The sequence below is a fragment of the Homo sapiens genome, chromosome 15, assembly GCF_000001405.40.
Source record: "Homo sapiens chromosome 15, GRCh38.p14 Primary Assembly".
Lineage (NCBI taxonomy): Eukaryota > Metazoa > Chordata > Mammalia > Primates > Hominidae > Homo > Homo sapiens.
The window spans coordinates 50,809,798-50,827,894 of record NC_000015.10 but is presented as its reverse complement, the minus strand read 5'-3'; the positions used below and the strand labels follow the sequence as shown (position 1 = coordinate 50,827,894).

The following is an 18,097-nucleotide window of genomic DNA, read 5'->3' as shown; positions in this document are numbered from 1 at the left end:
CAGCCTAGGATTAGTAAAGAGTCAGAGAGTGGTCCAGGCACAGTGGCTCACACCCATAATCCCAACATTTTGGGAGGCTGAGGCAGGAAGATCACTTGAGCCCAGGAGTTCGAGACCAGCCTGAGCAAAATAGTGAGACCCTGTCTCTATGAAAAAATTTAAAATTGGTCTGACATGGTGGTGTACACCTGTAGTCCCAGCTACTTGGGAAGCTGAGGCAGGAGGATCTTTTGACCCCAGGAGATTGAGGCTGCAGTGAACTGTGATCACACCACTACACTCCAGCCTGGACCACAGAACGAGACCCTGTCTCAAAAAATAAGTAAGTAGATAATAAATAAATAAAAAGTCACAGAGTGTAATTGCCCTAAAGTTGTTCTAGTGCCTGGACCCAGGCAAAGCATGCTATAAGGGAAGCATACAGCTCTCAAAATCCATTATCAACAACCTTTGAGAATTCACAGAGAAGATTAGAGGTGACAGACGGCTCAAAATGGTTGAGGGTTCTGATTTAAAATCAGGAATTGCGAACTACAAGGCTTGAGGTTTATCACCAGGAAAAGTCTAGAATTAATTATTATTAAATATTTGGTTTGTGAACATTTAAAAATGCACGTGGTGGTCATCAGCAGATGACATAGATTCACTAAGAACAAACCATGACAAACTAACCTATTATTTTTTGTTAGGGTAACTAGATCAGTAGCTCCGAGGAGTATCATAGACTTAGTATATGTTGATTTCAGCAAAGCCGTTCATTCACAAACTCTCCTGCAGCATCATTTTGGAAAATACACACAATGCAAATTATTAAAGGATTCACAGCTGTTTACAAAATCATATTCAATGACTATACCTAGATAGATGTATCCAATAAAATAAGTGCCCATCTTTGGCCCACTTCTCTTTAATTTTTTTTTTTTTTTTTTTTGAGACAGAGTCTCGCTTTGTTGCCCAGGATGGAGTGCAGTGGTGTGATCTTAGCTCACTGCAACCTCCACCTCCTGGGTTCAAGCAATTCTCCTGCCTCAGCCTCCCGAGTAGCTGGGATTACAGGCACGTGCCACCACACCCAGCTAATTTTTTGTATTTTTAATAGAGACAGGGTTTCACCATGTTGGCCAGGATGGTCTCAATCTCCTGACCTCATGATCCACCTGCCTCAGCCTCCCAAAGTGCTGGCATTACAGGCGTGAGCCAGCATGCCCGGCCTTCTTTCATATCTTTTATCAATAACCTAGACACAGACATTGAAGGCAACCTTACCAATTTCTCGGATGACACAAAGATGAAAGGAATAACCACTAGCTAAAGCACAGGATCTATGTTCAAGATATTATTAATTTACTGGAATGCCAAGCTGAAACCAGTGATGGACGACCTAATGGGTGGTAGGATGAGAAATTTAAGTTTCATGCAAGAAAGAACTTTTAACTATAGTTGTCTAACAATGGAATAGGTAATTATTGGGGGAGGGGATTGGAGATTGGCCCATCAAATGTTTCTACAAATACAAAAACTAGTTGATTCCGACTGAAAAATTAATAACAGACACTAAATGCTAACAGATTTCAAAGATAGTGGAAATTAATATAGGGCATAAAATTTGTTTTCCTAATGAAAACAAACACTGAGCAGAACCTTGAAGAATCAGTAAATAGTATAGATGCATGAAAGAGAGGAGGTCATTCCAGAAGCAAGACTAACGTGGCATTTTCCAGTCACAAAGTGACAGCTGGCTGTGGTTTTGGTGAGTAAAGGAAAACAAGGCTGGGGCCAGATTATGGAAGATCTGGGACCAGTAAAGAAGTTTATACTTTGTACAGTGGAGAAAGGATCAGTCAGGCTCTGCTTGCATGCATCTGAAACAAATTCTGGAAAATTCAAGAGAGGAATTTATTGGAAAAATATGAGGAGCTCCCAGAACAAATGCAAAGACTAGAGAACCAGGCCTGGAAACATTAGAAAGCAAAGTGGACTCTAAGGCTAAAAAGTAGGAACTAGAAAAGTAGGCTTGAAGCAGGCCAAGGCTCCATGCGAGCGTGAATGAATATGCAACCATGTTTAATCTCTTTATTACATTGCTAAGGATTCAAATTAGAGGAATGAGCATTCCAAAGCCCTAGTTTGTTATATGTCCTTCCCTTAGCTGAAAAAGAGATTAATAGTTGGGTTTTTTTAATCCAATAAAAGAGATAATCCCCAAAAGAAAGTTGAGGTGTGAAGGAGAAATAAATACTGAGCAGCCAATAGACAACAAAAGTTCACTATTGGCACTGTTAGAGGTTTTGAGCAAGGAGGCAATGTGTTGAAAATAGTGCTATATGGAGATCTGGCAATTTGCAAATGGACTGAAGGAATGGAAATCTAAAGGTAGATAGTGAGTTTTCCAGGTATATACTGTGGCAGTGGAATAGGATAGCAATGATGTTCAAAGTAAAAACAGTAAGCCTTGATAACTGCCTAAAGGTTAAGGAAAAGGAAAGAGTCAAAAATTACTATAAATGCTCTCCTTAAAGACTGAAGGAATGATAGTGGTAGAAGTAAGACAGCTTAGAAAGAGAGCAGCATCTAGGATGGAGGTGAAAATGATGCTTACAGTGTTAAGTTTAGCTGATGGGGAAAATGCTCAGTAGGAATTAGGACTAAATAGTCTATGAGGACTTGTTTGGAGATATAGACTTAGGAGGATTTGGCATAAAGATTGCAATAAAAGTCAGACCTGGCTGTCTTACAAATATATAAAATGATATGCAGAAATGGTTGAAAACTTCCCTCCAAATTGTAAGAAAAAAAGAGTATCCCCCTAAAAAAGGAGTTGGTAGTGGAAGTTTTGGGAACTCAAAATGAGAACTTCTGTACTATAAACTTTTAACTATAAGCAGTATGATTTTTTCCATTTTTATTCTTATCCCATTTTCTCCCTCTACCCGAGATACCCACTCTAATTTTATGTCCATATATATATATATACATGTATATATATACATATTTTAAGGGATATATATACATGCATACACATATAGCCCTGTAAAAAACGTGGAGTTTTTTGGAGTTTGTGTTTAAATTTAAATGTATTTAAATATGTGACATTATGTTGCAGACCTCATTTTGTTATTTTTTCACTCAACACATCATGTTGCTATAAGAACAAGAAAGCCAAGTTGCTGCTTAGAAATGATGCAACAGTTTACATTTCTACCAGCAGGTCATGAGAGTTCTCAATTCTAACATTTTCACCAACACTCGGTAATATCTTGTTTTTGCCAATTTGGTGAATATAAAATTGTGCCTAGTTGTTTAAAGTTTTTTCTTCCTAGTGAGATGGAATACCCCTGAAGTCCTCAGGTTTCTTTTTCAATATGCTGCTTCATTGTAGTCTTTCTCCATTTTTCTGTTGTTTCCTTTTATTTATTGATTTCCACTAGTATCATTTATGTCCTAGAGCTGTGCGGTCCAGTACAGTAGCCACTAGCCATTAACCAGTAAGCCAAGAGCACTCAAGTACTTTAAATATGGCTAGTCCAAATTGAGATATAATGTTAGTATAACAAACACACCAGATTTTAAAAACTCAGTACAAAACAAAGAATGCAAAACATCTCAATAATCTTTATAATAAATTGAAATTATAATATTTTAGATATGTTAAATAAAATTTATTTTTAGAATACATTTTACCTATTTATTTTTGCTTTTTATTATATTGTGGCAACTAGAAAATTCAAAATAACATACATGGCTGGCTTGTATTTGTGCAAGCCACAAATTATATTTCTATTGGAGATGCTGTTCTAGATATCCTTAGTTAGTTTTAGACATTGACAATATCTTTTCTGGCTCTGTCCTCCATCCTAAGTTTGTGTATGGTGTCTCATCAAATCTATCAATTTCTCACCAGGCCACCACATTAGACAACAACAATATCTATGTAAATGGCCCCCTGAAGTTGGGCAGTGAATAACATATGCAGCCATACATAGCCCTGATTTTTGCCTGGTGGATTGTATTTTGTGCATCTTGTTTAATAAGTTCTTCCCCACAGCTAGATCACAAAATTGTCCTTGTATTATTTTTATAATTAAAAAAGAGAAAAACAGGATGGTGTGCCATAGAAGAAAGTGGTTTATAAGGTCAAAAAATACAGATTTTAGCCAAAAAAATGACTATAGGGAAAAAATCATTTATGCTGGATTTTATTATTTTTGACAGCAACGTTATCTTTCTAATTATGTTTTGGTTAGGCAAATGTTAAAATTTGCATTCCAAAGAGCACATTAACAGATGGTAAAGAAGACAGGCCACAAGCATGCTGAGTGACAGGCTGACTCCAGTTTCTAGTCTAAATATTCGCTGAGATTAGTTTTCACAATAAATAAATAACCTTGATGTAGATAAGAAAGAGCTGGCAGTAATTGCAAAGATCATAAGAGAATGTTTAGGTTTCTACTTATATTATTCTGAAACATGCTTTTTCGAATATCACTTGCTTACTCTGGAAAGTCATCCAATCTCCATTCCCTATCAAATTCAAACTGCTCAAATCTGTCAGTGGAGACACCCATAAACTGGCCCCATCCAGGTTTGTGTGTCTCATTTTCCCAACAAACTATACATTCTACACAGATAGGTATCATGTCTAACATTAATACTTCTTCATCGACATCTTGAGAGATGTCATCGTTTAAAATTTTCTAAATTACTTGAGTAAAATGCTCTGTGCTTAGCATGAAATGGCTAAAATTTATTTGAGCAACAGTTTTCACTTTGAAGTAACTCACCTGACCTCATACGAAGAAAAATACCAATGACAGAAGTAAGTAGAAAATAACATGTTCAAAATGAGATATCAAATGATAAGGTATTTAAAAGTTGAGGTCAACCTCAGAACTGCTAATATGCCCATTACAACCACAGAAATATAGGTTTGCAGTAATAAGTATTGTAGTCTTCTTCAAACCCTTTAATTCAAGAAAGAAGTTGAAAGGTTATAAAAAGTCAAAGGCAATGAGACCAACTCACCTCAGACCAAGTGCAGGATGTTTAGAGATTGAAGTCATTTATTCCTGATTAATACTGGGAATTCCAACTCACTTTAAGTATTAACACTTATCAGAATTTAAAACAGTTAATTCCAAATTAAAAGCTGACCTTTCTTTTTACTCAGCCTCTAACTATAGGCTTCATTATAACTGTGTGAATGTATAATTTTCATTTTAAAAAGTGTGTAATACTTGTGGTACAAGTCTGGGCATTACATTAAGAAAACCAAATGTTTTTGATATCTTTTATGACGGTTATAACTTCAGTGTCTACTGGAAAAATTTGCAAAGGCAAGAATTTGTCTTTCACCATTATATTTGACATAGAATAGAAATGTATTTCCCAAAGCAAAATTGTACATACTTCACAAAATTCAGCTGTTATTGTTCCCAAGCTCAATTCTTCTCTGTGTCCACTCCTCCATCTAGATTTATTTTCCTTCTTGTTGAAGTACATTCTTTGGTAGTTCTTTCAAGTATCTATGGATAATAAACTGTCTGTACATTTGCAAAGGTATTTTACCTTTACTCTTCAGTGATAATCACAATATAGACTTTTATTTTGACAGCTATTAAAAATGGAATTATACATTCACACACTCATAATGAAACATCAGCACATTGAAGATATTATTCTACTGTTTTCTGGCATTTATTCTTGCTAATGAGAAATCCAATTGTCTTTCCTCTCTGGTTAACCTTCTGTTAGTTTTAGAATATTTTTTCCTTTTCTGTTGTTCTCCCATTTCATTAAAAGTATCTAGACGTTAATTTAGTTTTTTAATCCAGCTCGAACACAAATGTGCTCTTTATGTATTTTATATTTTTTGCCTGAGAGTTTCTCTTTAGCTAGAGTTATAAATTCTATGGTGTTCCATGAATATCTGGGTAATAGAAGCCTCCCTATGGGATGGTTTCGTTGTTACTTATGCCCGAGCCCTGTGGGTTTTTGCAAATCTTGATGTTTGTTTCTTGGTTTTAGACAGCCGATATTTAGGATAACCCTCACTCAGAGGTGGTTCCCTAAGACCTCTATTGCTTGTAGGTCATCCTGTTTTCATCTATGTAGAGGTGGCTCACCTTTGCAGCAACTCTTGGCCTTTGGGTTTTCCTGGTCCCCATTCTTAGACAGTGTAGTAATTTTGCCGCTCCCCACAGGCACCAGGCAAGGGCAGCAGCCCTTGATTTACCCTACCCCAAAGACACAGATCAATTTGGTTCCTCCTATGGGCATCAAAGCTTCAACTCCTTCTCCGTTTTATATCTATGCATTTCTGGAGAATTTTTTTTTCTTGATTTTTGAGCTTGGGTACATATTTCTTAAATTATTATTATTACTTTTAGTCCAACATTCTGTGTGTAGAGTGGGGTAAAAAGGATTCTGCTTAGCCATTTGGACTAGATCCTTTCACATTACCTTCTGTTTTTGTTTTTGTTTTTGTTACTTTGATATAGATGATCTTAAGAAAGCAGAGAGTAGATCCAATAACAGATGTTAACTGTGGCTTTCTATCTGTTTGTCTTTCCATACTGGGAAGTTCTTAGCAATTAGAGCCATCAAAACAAAATTGGAAAATGTTTTCTTTATTCAGAACAGGTAACTTTAGGACACAATAAAATCTAAAGACATCCTATCAAAAGTGACAGCTATATCATAGTAGAAGCATTAGCTTGGCATTTATAGATTGGGTTCAAGTAGAAAATTGGTCTAAAGATCAAAACTTTCTGAGATCATTTGGAATAAAAGCTAATCCTCACATTGAAATTAATGCAATGAATAATGGCCTTTTGTTGAAGCACTGATGAGGTCACGTCTAGTCCAAGCAGAAGCCTGTCAATCTCATATTGTGGTCTACGTTTAATCGGGCCTTTGTTTTCAAGTTCACAACCACTAGAAATTCAATCTAAGATTTACACATTGCTAACTCTAACGTCATCAATTTACATGTTTTAAGTTGCATCTGCTGGTCCGTAGGGCGTGAGGACTTTTAGGTCTGCATAAAGTTCATCAAAATTTTCTCAACAATATTTATGGTTTTTTGTTTATTTATTTATTCATTTATTGATTGATTGAGAAAGGGTCTCACTCTGTCACCCAGGCTGGAGTGCAATGGTGCAATTTCAGCTCACCGCAACCTCCACCTCCCGGGTTCAAGTGATTCTCCTACCTCAGTCTCCTGAGTAGCTAGGATTACAGGCATGTGCCACCACACCTGGCTAATTTTTGTATTTTTTTTTAGTAGAGACAGGGTTTCACCATGTTGGCCAGGCTGGTCTCTAACTCCTGGCCTCAAGTGATCAGCCCGCCTTGGCCTCCCAAAGTGCTCAGATTATAGGCGTGAGCCACCGCACCCGGCCTCAACAATATTTGATATGTATCAAAAACATGTAAACTAAGAAAGCTTTGAGGGCATAATTATATATTCTTAAAATTAGGAAAAAAAATCAACACATGAGATTACAGTGAAATCCATACTCAAATCCTGCTGATAAATTGTTACAATCCTTTTGGAAAGTAATATGGCAACATAGGTGGCAAAAACCACAATGTTTTTCTTGAAACCCTAAGGCCACTTCTAGGAGTTTATGCTGTAGAACTAATTCAACAGAAGATTAAAACTATGTACATGAAGTTATTCATATGCAAGACTGAAAAATCAGAAACAAGTTAAATGTCTTTGTAAGTTACAATCTTTTAAGTTTTCAATTACCTTAACTAATGGTGGCTTATTGAGAGATAAAATGGATTATGAAGACTGACACATAGTTTCAGAACTAGAATCTCTTAAGGTATAAGACATTTTGTTGCACTGTCATCATCAAAGTAATATTAACTTCTCAATCCCTCTTCAGGTACTCTGCTTTTAAAGAGACTTGGATATTCTTTAACTCTGCTTCCACTATTCCTACTACTACCAAACTATTTCCCTTATGTCTCAACTTGAAATGTCTTCAAAAAGAGTACCTGATTATTTGGGGCATTTACTATGCAATATTGAGGGGTCTTTGCGGGGCAGAGCTTGCCCACAAGACTATCATAGATCTCTGACCACGGTCCAATGTCCACAGCCCTGATCCAATTAGCAGTACCAAAGATAGTAAGGTGACACAGTACATTTTTTTCTGTCTTCAGATTACCTGATTTTTGCAATCTGAAAGATAAAATAAAAGGTTTTTAAAATGAATATTACTTAGTTATACACTTAATACAAGTTGTCCTTAATTGTCCATTCTTTTGATAAAAACATGACCATACTCTGTTCAGCATGATTCATATTTGCAGACAGATTTCTAAAATTAGGAAAGGTCATTGCCCAGCAAAGAGATACTTCATCATGTAACCATTTCTGAGATCCTATGATAAGAAAATATAGTGCATTCATTTCTCATTTCCTGCACCTTAATAAATCTGTTCCTGTTATCTTTTCCTAAAACTGTAGCTGTAGAAAAACATAAATACTTATCAAATAGGCAGAGAAAGTGCTGAGAGATTTACTCATGCATGTTTTTATCAGAAAAAAAAATGTCTAGAAAAGAGTTGCCCATGTTACACATGAACAATATAAAATGAAGCTTTATGAAAAACATAAGCATTAACAAGATAAAAGAAACAGCAACTATGCAAATAAACTAAGCAAAGAAAGCAGCAGTAAGGAAAGGAGGATGGCACACCAAATACTATCTAAACATAACACAGAGAATAGAAAAATGTAAGAGCTGTTTGTTTTATCATGTTTGTGATAAAATAACTTATTACAAAATGATAAAATAACATAATAAAAGGTGTAAAAGAGAGATTGCATGGCCGGGCATGGTGGCTCATGCCTGTAATCCCAGCACTTTGGGAGGCCGAGGCGGGCAGATCACCTGAGGTCGGGAGTTTGTGACCAGCCTGACCAACATGGAGAAACCCCATCTCTACTGAAAACACAAAATTAGCCGGGCGTGGTGGCGCATGCCTGTAATCCCAGCTACTAGGGAGGCTGAGGCAGGAGAATCACTTGAACCTGGGAGGCAGAGGTTGCGGTGAACCGAGATCGCACCATTGCACTCCAGCCTGGGCAACAAGAGCAAAACTCCATCTCAAAAAAAATTAAAAATAAAAATAAGTAAAATAAGAGATTGCAGAATCTAGGAAACAAAACTATATTAATTAGGAGCCAGAAACCATACTACTTACTTTAACAGAAAGAGTTCAAGAACTGCTAACTAGGTAATCAAGAACTGACAAGGGAAAAATAAAACACTAAGATTATAGATAGATATACAGATTATAGACAGATTATAAAAAGGAGCTTCTATCCCTGGGGCTTGAGGAATAAAGGGAAAAGGCTAGAATAATTAAAACTTAGAAGCTTGGAGGAGAAGCCCAAAAAAACTGAGTACCAGATCTCTGAAAAGAACGCGCTGCTTAGCTGGTGCTATGGTCTTTTTGCTCAGAGAAGGGCCTCCATGGAATTACGACCAAAATCTCTAAGGAAGTGGTGCTGACCAGCTGATATTAGGTATTTGAGGGGGTGTGATGAGGTTAGTTCTGCAAGTATTAAGCAAACTGTGACTGTAACCTGGACTGTATAGCTGCTCTGCTGCTACTGGATCAAACTTACTCAGCCAGAGTTAAAAATGAGGCTGGGGTACTGCTATACAGAGGAGGAATCCAACAGGAAAGAAGGAAGTCCATCCTCCCTCCTCCAGCCTTTCACTCTCTCTCTCTGATATTCCCTATTGGAAACACCTCAGAGAGCAACTGGCAAAGCAGAAATGTGGTTTGCATAGTCCCAGCTCCAGCATCATAAAACAACATTAGGAAAGGGTGGATGTGGCACTGAGAGATTATATTTAATAACTGGCCAAAGGACCAAAACAATGCTATTACAGAATTAATGAACAAATCTGGAACAGCAAAAATCAAAACAAAAAAAGCAACACAAAAAAACAGATCTAAGGACAAGAGAGAAAGAAAGGAAAGAAGGAAGGAAGATCACTGCTACCGGTGATCCAACTCACACAGCTTTTGTTAAGGCACACTTGATTCTAACACTAAATTGTTTGAACTTCTTTTCACTGTTTTCTTTGACAGTGGCCTCTCCTGTCATGCTGGTGGACACAATAGCTAGCAGAATAGCCATAGTTATGACCTGGCCCTGAATAGCCAAAATAGGCCATATTGGACATCAGAAACTTAGAATCAACCTCTGTTATCAATGGAGATACAGAAAAAAGTAAAACATGTGGTCTCTGAAAATAAACTATGTAGTGCTTAGCAAATGTAACATTCTGCATTGTCAGTGATTAATTTTATTGATACCTTGGAATATATTGCAAAAATTGTTCTGGCCAGGCGTGGTGGCTCACACCTGTAGTCCCAGCACTTTGGAGGCCGAGGCGGGTGGATCACCTGAGGTCAACAGTTCAAGACCAGCCTGGCCAACATGGCAAAACCCCATCTCTACTAAAAATACAAAATTAGCTGGGCATGGTGGCAGATGCCTGTAATCCCAGCTACTCAGGAGGCTGAGGCAGGAGAGCCGCTTGAACTCGGGAGGCGGAGGTTGCAGTGAGCTGAGATTGCACCATTGCACTCCAGCCTGGGAGACAGAGCAAGACCCTGTCTAAAAAAAAAAAAAAAAGTTATTCTGTGTTTTTTGCCATTATTCTAATATAAAACTATTCTCTTTTTTTTCCTACAATGTGATTTGTACCATTTATTACTATCTAAATGACATCTCCTTCTTATTCTGTGTAACATGTGTGTATCTTCCCAAACAATCAATAAGCAGGCAAGGGTTTCTTTTAGGAGTGTGTGTGTGTGTGTGTGTGTGTGTGTGTGTGTGAGTATTTTTAAGACTTGGGAGTTTTTGACATCATTCCTTGTGTTCAGGCTCAAAACTGAACTTCATTGGAGTATATAAACCATTAGAGTTAAGGGAAAACTTTATTGTTTCATCCTAAAAACTTTTCCTAGTACGGAATCTATTGAGTGTTGGGATCTGCTTTCTCAACAGTTCAGAAGAATACCAAAACAGAAATCATAATTTTCATATTTGATTGTTCTTTTACCAGTGAAATCTAAGTAATTCTTGGAATTCATACAGATCCTATAGGCATCGCCCTTGAAAGAAACAGATGTAAATCAATTTTATTAATTTTTTTCACCTTAAAGTTATTCTATGGCAAAGCTGTTTTAAACTGGGTATCTTGACAGCAGAATATTTGCACCAAAAAGTCATCACACTCAAACATGCAGTCGCATATTAGCAAGTGAAAATTTGAAGCGAAAAGGAAAGCTAGTAAGAGAAGAAAATGGGAGTTAGAGAAGAAAAGAGGAAGAAATACATAAATAGTTTAAACAACTTCTCCCACCAGTATTACCAGATAAGGACACCAATTCTGCTGTGAACTGCTTTACTACCTAGCTGCAGAGCTCCTTGAAGCATAGGCAGGCAGCCAAGTGAGCCTGCCCTATCTGCCCCCAAGCCTTGGAGGGTAGAGTTACAACCCAGATTACCTAAGCACCACCAACCTTACAGCCTCAGGGTAAAGAGAACACAAACACACCTAAAACCACTGCCCACTCCTTTCTTCTGGCAAGCTTTCTCTTCCTTGTCCTTTCCTGTTCCTCTGTTCTTTCTAGAAAGAACTTCTGGAAACGTCTCTGGCCCTTAGAGTTATGGGTGTTGGCAAGCATAAGTATGCAGCATTTTATAGGTCCTTCTCTCTAAATTCGCAAGTGGGCAGGGTCATGCTACTGGGACTGTCTCTCAAAGTTGTACCATCGACAAAGGATAGACACTGGCATAATAGTGAACTGTTGATTTTTGTTTTGTTTTTTTGTTTGTTTGTTTTTGAGACGGAGTCTCACTCTTGCCCTGGCTGGAGTGCAATGGCATGATCCCGGCTCACTGCAAGCTCCGCCTCCCAGGTTCGAGCGATTCTCCTGTCTCAGCCTCCCAAGTAGCTGGGATTACAGGTGTGCGCAACCACACCTGGCTAATTTTTGTGTTTTTAGTAGAGATGGTGTTTCACCATGTTGGCCAGGCTGGTCTCAAACTCCTGACCTCAAGTGATCCACCAGCCTCGGCCTCTCAAAGTGCTGGGATTACAGGCGTGAGCCCACTGTGCTTGGCTGTGAACTGTTGATTTTTCTGACAGCTCCCAGACCACCTGAGGGTGTATTTGATCACTCATGGTCTGAGAGTCACCATTTCAGAACTACTCTCTTATCTTTATTCCTTTATTAGAGGAATTTACTTTCATGTTCTAGTCTAGTTTGAGAGCTCCTTAAAGGCCAGACTATGAGAAAGCTACTTCCAGAGAACTCATAATCTTTTATATTATATACCAAATCCATGAGCTACTCAGTGGACATTTGTTAGTTATTGGACAAAATCCAAAAAATAAAAATAAAAATAATTTTAGTATTCTGAATGATGTATTTTTAAAGTTTTAACAAGAAACAGAAAGTGTTTAAAATGTGGACACAGGAAAACCATATGGTGGTTACTAAAAAAATTAAACATAGAATTACCATATAACCTAGTAATTCCACTTCTGAGTATTTACCCAAAAGAACTGTTGGCAAGTTTGGCAAAATGGTTATTGACTAAAAAATTAAAAAAGAATTAAAAGCAGGGACACAAACAGATATTTGCACATCAATGTTTATAGCAGCATTATTAACAATAGCCAAAAGGTGGAAGCAAACCAAGTCACCATTAACAGATGAATGGATAAATAATGTGATATATACATACAATGGAATATTATTAAGCTTTAAAAAGACATGAAATTCTAACATATGCAACAATATGGATGAATCTTGAAGACATTTTGTTAAGTGAAATAAGCCAGACATAAAAGGACAAATAGTATATGATTCCACTCATGTGAGGTACCTAAAGTAGTCAAATTCATAGACAAAAAGTACAGCTGGGCACTGTGGCTTCACCTGTAATCCCAACACTTTGGGAGGTGGAGGGGGTAGGATCTCTGGAGCCCAGAAGTTTGAGACCAGCCTGGACAACATAGCAAGATCCTTCACTAAAAAAATAAAATAAGAAAATAGCCAGGTGTGATGGCACACACCTATAGTCCCAGCTACTCAGGAGGCTGAGGCAGGAGGATCCCTTGAGCCCATGATCTTGAGGCTGCAGTGAGCTATGATTCCCACCACTGCACTCCAGCCCCAGCCTGAGCAACAGAGAGGGACCCTGTCTCTGAAAATAAAAAAAATAAAAAAGCAGAATGGTATTTGCCAGAGGCTGGGGGGTAGGGAGAATGGGGAGTTATCATTTAATGAGTATGAAGTTTCAGTTTTGGAAGATGAAAATTTTCTGGAGATGGATGGTGGTAATTGTTATATGACAATGTTAATGTACTTAATATCACTGAATTATACACTTAGAATAGTTAAAATAGTAAACTTTTATGCTATATATATTTTACCACAATTTCTTTTAAAAAAGAAATAAACCTTTAAAGAATATTGGCCAGTAGAAAGTATTTTATCTAATATTATTTTACCTCTTCATTTGTATCTTTGAACTATGAATAATGCATTTCCTTGTGTTCAGTGGTTCTCAATGGGTGGTCCAGGGACCGCCCCCCATCTCAACTCCCAGAAGTCTCCAATACCTTTTCAGGAAGCCTTTAAAGTAAAACTAATTTCATTATAACATAATACTATAATATAATCCTATGTTATTTCCCTTTTTTTAAACCTCAATTCTCTCAAAAGAACATTAGTTTTGCTGAGGTCATGTGACATGTGATATCATAAAAGACAGAATGCGAATACAGCTAAGAGAATTCAGCTGTCTTTTATTAAGCCAAGTATGAAAGAGATTTGCAAAAATGTGAAACAATGCCACTCTTCTCATGAGATGTTTTTGTTTGGGGAAATGTAGTTATTTTTCATAAAACATGTTATTTATATTAACATGTAATGAGATATTATTATTGTTTTAAATGAATTAATACATAGTTTTTAAATTTCTGGATTTAAATTTTTTAACTTTTCTCTCTTTATAGGATTTAGAAGTTCCAAAGAGCAGGCTGGGTAACATATTTAGAGCACTGCCTTATACAATTTTCTGGATTCTTTAATACAATAGCATAGGGAAAATGTGGTTTATGTAGCCAAGCATTGCTTAGATGGGTATAAAAAGAATATTGACTTAAAATTTGCTGGCTCACATTATCGTGTTGATAAGGTACTACAGCAAAAGTACCTCATCAACACAAGGCTGATTTGAGGCTCTTTCAACATGATTGAGTTAAAAGATTCCAAAAGAAAAGAAATGAACAATGTAATTTGCTATTACTGCTCCTACTGTTGTTACCTCAGGTAAGTAGACAGACATGAACAGGGCAGGAGAGGGCTCCCCGCACCATACCCCCAACCAGGAATGTCAGGCAACCATCAGGTAATGGTCAGGCGGTTAACTGTCTATCTAAAATCATTGGTTGCAGCCCGCGCCAGGGAAAGGCAGTCTCCCTCCAGATAGGAAAAACCTGAAACTGGTGATCAGTAGCTTCTCAAGAGTTGGTGGAGTGGGCTCAGACATGCGCACTAATAAGCGAAATGGCAGAGTTTAACTGGTATATGACCTCCTAGGGACATGTGGCTCCTAAGGGAAGAACAGCTCAAGTGAGCGTGCGTACAATTCCAGTAAACACGCTGCACATGCTCACCTCCCAAGTGCTAGCAGGCCACTGCGCATGCAGACAGCCAACCCCAAGGGAAGAAGGGGAGAAAGTGTGTCTGGAATTGGTGGGTTCTTGGTCTCACTGACTTCAAGAATGAAGCCACGGACCCTTGCTGTGAGTGTTAACAGTTCTTAAAAGCGGCGTATCCGGAGTTTGTTTCTTCCTCCCAGTGGGTTCGTGGTCTCGCTGGCTCAGGAGTGAAGCTGTGGACCTTGGCGGTGAGTGTTACAGCTCATAAAAGCAGTGTGGACCCAAACAGTGAGCAGCAGCAAGGTTTACTGCAAAGAGCGAAAGAACAAAGCTTCCACAGTGTCTAACGGGACCCCAGCGGGTTGCCACTGCTGTCTCGGGCAGCCTGATTTTATTCTCTTACCTGGCCCACCCACATCCTGCTGATTGGTCCATTTTACAGAAAGCCGAGTGGTCTGTTTTGACAGGGTGCTGATTGGTGCGTTTACAATCCCTGAGCTAGACACAAAGGTTCTCCACTTCCCCACTAGATTAGCTAGATACAGAGTGTTGAAACAAAGGTTCTCCAAGTCCCCACCAAAGTAGCTAGATACAGAGTGTGGATTGGTGCATTCAGAAACCCTGAGCTAGACACAGGGTGCTGATTGGTGTGTTTACAAACCTTGAGCTAGATACAGAGTGCCGATTCGTGTATTTACAATCCCTTAGCTAGGCATAAAGGTTCTCCAAGTCCCCACCAGTCAGGAGCCCAGCTGGCTTCACCCACTGGATCCCGCATCGGGGCCACAGGTGGAGCTACCTGACAGTCCCACGCCGTGCACCTGCACTCCTCAGCCCTTGGGTGGTTGATGGGACTGGGTGCCGTGGAGCAGGGGGCGGCACTCGTCAGGGAGGCTCGGGCGGCACAGGAGCCCACGGAGGGTGGGGGAGGCTCAGGCATGGCAGGCTGCAGGTCCTGAGCCTGGCCCCGCGGGGAGGCAGCTAAGGCCCAGCGAGAAATCGAGTGCAGCGCTGGTGGGCCAGCACTGCTGGGGGACCCAGCACACCCTCTGCAGCCGCTGGCCCGGGTGCTAAGCCCCTCATTGCCCAGGGACTGCAGGGCCGGCCGGTCGCTCCGAGTGCAGGGCCTGCTGAGCCCACACCCACCCGGAACTCGTGCTGGCCCGCAAACACCGCGTGCAGCCCTGGTTCCCACCCGCGCCTCTCCCTCCACACCTCCCCGCAAGCTGAGGGAGCCAGCTCCGGCCTCGGCCAGCCCAGGAAGGGGCTCCCACAGTGCAGCGGCGGGCTCCTCAAGTGCCGCCAAAGTGGGAGCCCAGGCAGAGGAGGCGCCGAGAGCGAGCGAGGGCTGTGAGGGCTGCCAGCACACTGTCACCTCTCAAAAGGACGCAAGACCCCAGAAGTATGCCAACATATAAAGCCCCAAGTCAAAAGGTCAAACTGCGCACTTGTCTTTCAAGTTGCCCGCTTGGCCCTCTTCCAAGTGTACTTTACTTTCTTTTCATTCCTGCTCTAAAGCTTTTTTTTTTTTTTTTTTTCCCTGACTCTTGTTGCCTAGGCTGGAGAGCAATGGCACACTCTCAGCTCACTGCAAACTTGACCCCCCGGGTTCAAGTGATTCTCCTGCCTTAGCCTCCTGAGTAGCTGGGATTACAGGCACCGTCTACCACACCTGGCTAATTTTGTATTTTTAGTAGAGACAGGGTTTCACCATGTTGCCCAGGCTAGTCTCAAACTCCTGACCTCAGGTGATCTGCTCGCCTTGGCCTCCCAAAGTGCTGGGATTACAGGTGTGAGCCACTGCATCCGGCCTCTAAAGCTTTATAATAAACTTTTTCACTCCTGCTCTAAAACTTGCTTCAGTCTCTTCTGTCTTATGCCCCTCAGTCGAATTCTTTTTCTGAGGTGGTAGGAATTAAAGTTGCTGCAGACCCATAGAGATTCGCCACTGGTAACATATTTTGGTGCTGTGTGAGTCAAATAACTTCCACTGCTAACACTATTATACTTTTTTAAAAAACTTCCACTTTAGGTTGGTGGTACATGTGAGGTTTTGTTACACAGGTAAACACATGTCATGGGGTTTGTTGTACATATTATTTCCTCACCCAGGATCAAGCCCAGTACCCAATAGTTATCTTGTCTGCTCTTCTCCCTCTTCCCATCCACCCTTCTCAAGAAGACCCCACTGTGTTGTTTCCTTCTTTGTATTCATAAATTCTTATCATTTAGCTCCCACTTGTAAGTGAGAACATGCGGTAGTTGGTTGTCTGTTCCTGCGTTAGTTTGCTAAGGATAATAGCCTCCAGTTCCATCCATGTTCCTGCAAAAGACATGATCTCGTTCTTTTTTATGGCTGTATCCATTTAAATTTCTAATATGGTAAATAATGATAGTTACAGCCCACATAAGGAAAAGCTCTTTAAGGTCCTCTGTGTGTATAGGGGTTCTGAAACCAAAAAGTTTAAAAACTCCTGGTTCAGTTTATAGGGTGATCAGACTAAGCCTATTAAGATGCTAGCAAACTGACATTTTTATCTTAGAATTCTATCCATTACCTCAAGTTAATCAAGGATTAGCCAACCTCTTCTAAATTCAGACAACCCAAAATTGTCTGTGAATGTAAACAGTTGTTGTTGAATGCGAGTTAAGTGATACTTGCTGATAAATAATTCTGAGTCTGCAAACTTCTGGGCCAGACTTCATTGCTACTGGATCAAAATTCATGCCTGCACATAGAGGATGGTAATTAAATATCCTAACACAAATTATGGGTTTGGAAGAAATGTACTCTTTAATTGGGTACCTTATCTATTCTGTGGTCACTTAAGTATAACCCACTAACTATAGAGTTCTTATTCTACTTAAACATGCAATTTAAAATCCATTATCCAGCAGTATAATTCGAAAAGGCTGTAGAAAGTCTAGTTATGCAATAGTAACATCAGAAATATAGTCATAGTTTAAGATAGGTCATGCATTAGTCTCAAGATAGTCTTCTTATTAGTTGCCAGAACAATGTTTTGCTATCTAACAGCTCCCTCAGAAAAAAATGGTACTGGTAAATGCTGACTGGAATGAAATATCTTAATTTTTTTTTCCTTTGCAGGAAATCAGGTCTTTATTAGATCACCTAGTGGCCCAGTGGTTAAAAGCATAAACTTGGGAGATAGACAAACCTGCATTTCAATCTCTGCTGGAATACTCAGCCACTGTGTGACCTCAGGTAAATTGCTTACCCTCTTTAAATCTGTTTACCCATCAGTAAAACGGAGATACTAACACCTTTGCTCAATGGATTAAGAAATAATTAAATTAAGTAATGGGTAAAAAGCAGTTAGCCCAAGGTCATGTCCATACTGAGCATCTGATAAATA

General features: G+C 39.3%; 2 annotated features.

Moving 5' to 3' along the window:
• Nucleotides 15,402-15,921: an enhancer, noted in NCBI's record as "H3K4me1 hESC enhancer chr15:51104171-51104690 (GRCh37/hg19 assembly coordinates)". NCBI's record gives its function as "activates a minimal SCP1, AML or CMV promoter by ChIP-STARR-seq in primed H9 embryonic stem cells {active_cell/tissue: H9 hESC(primed)}" and the evidence as "EXISTENCE:reporter gene assay evidence [ECO:0000049][PMID:30033119]".
• Nucleotides 15,929-16,223: a silencer, noted in NCBI's record as "tiled region #3374; HepG2 Repressive DNase matched - State 9:DNaseU, and K562 Repressive non-DNase unmatched - State 22:ReprW". NCBI's record gives its function as "represses a minimal TATA promoter and a strong SV40 promoter by Sharpr-MPRA in HepG2 and K562 cells {active_cell/tissue: HepG2 | K562}" and the evidence as "EXISTENCE:reporter gene assay evidence [ECO:0000049][PMID:27701403]".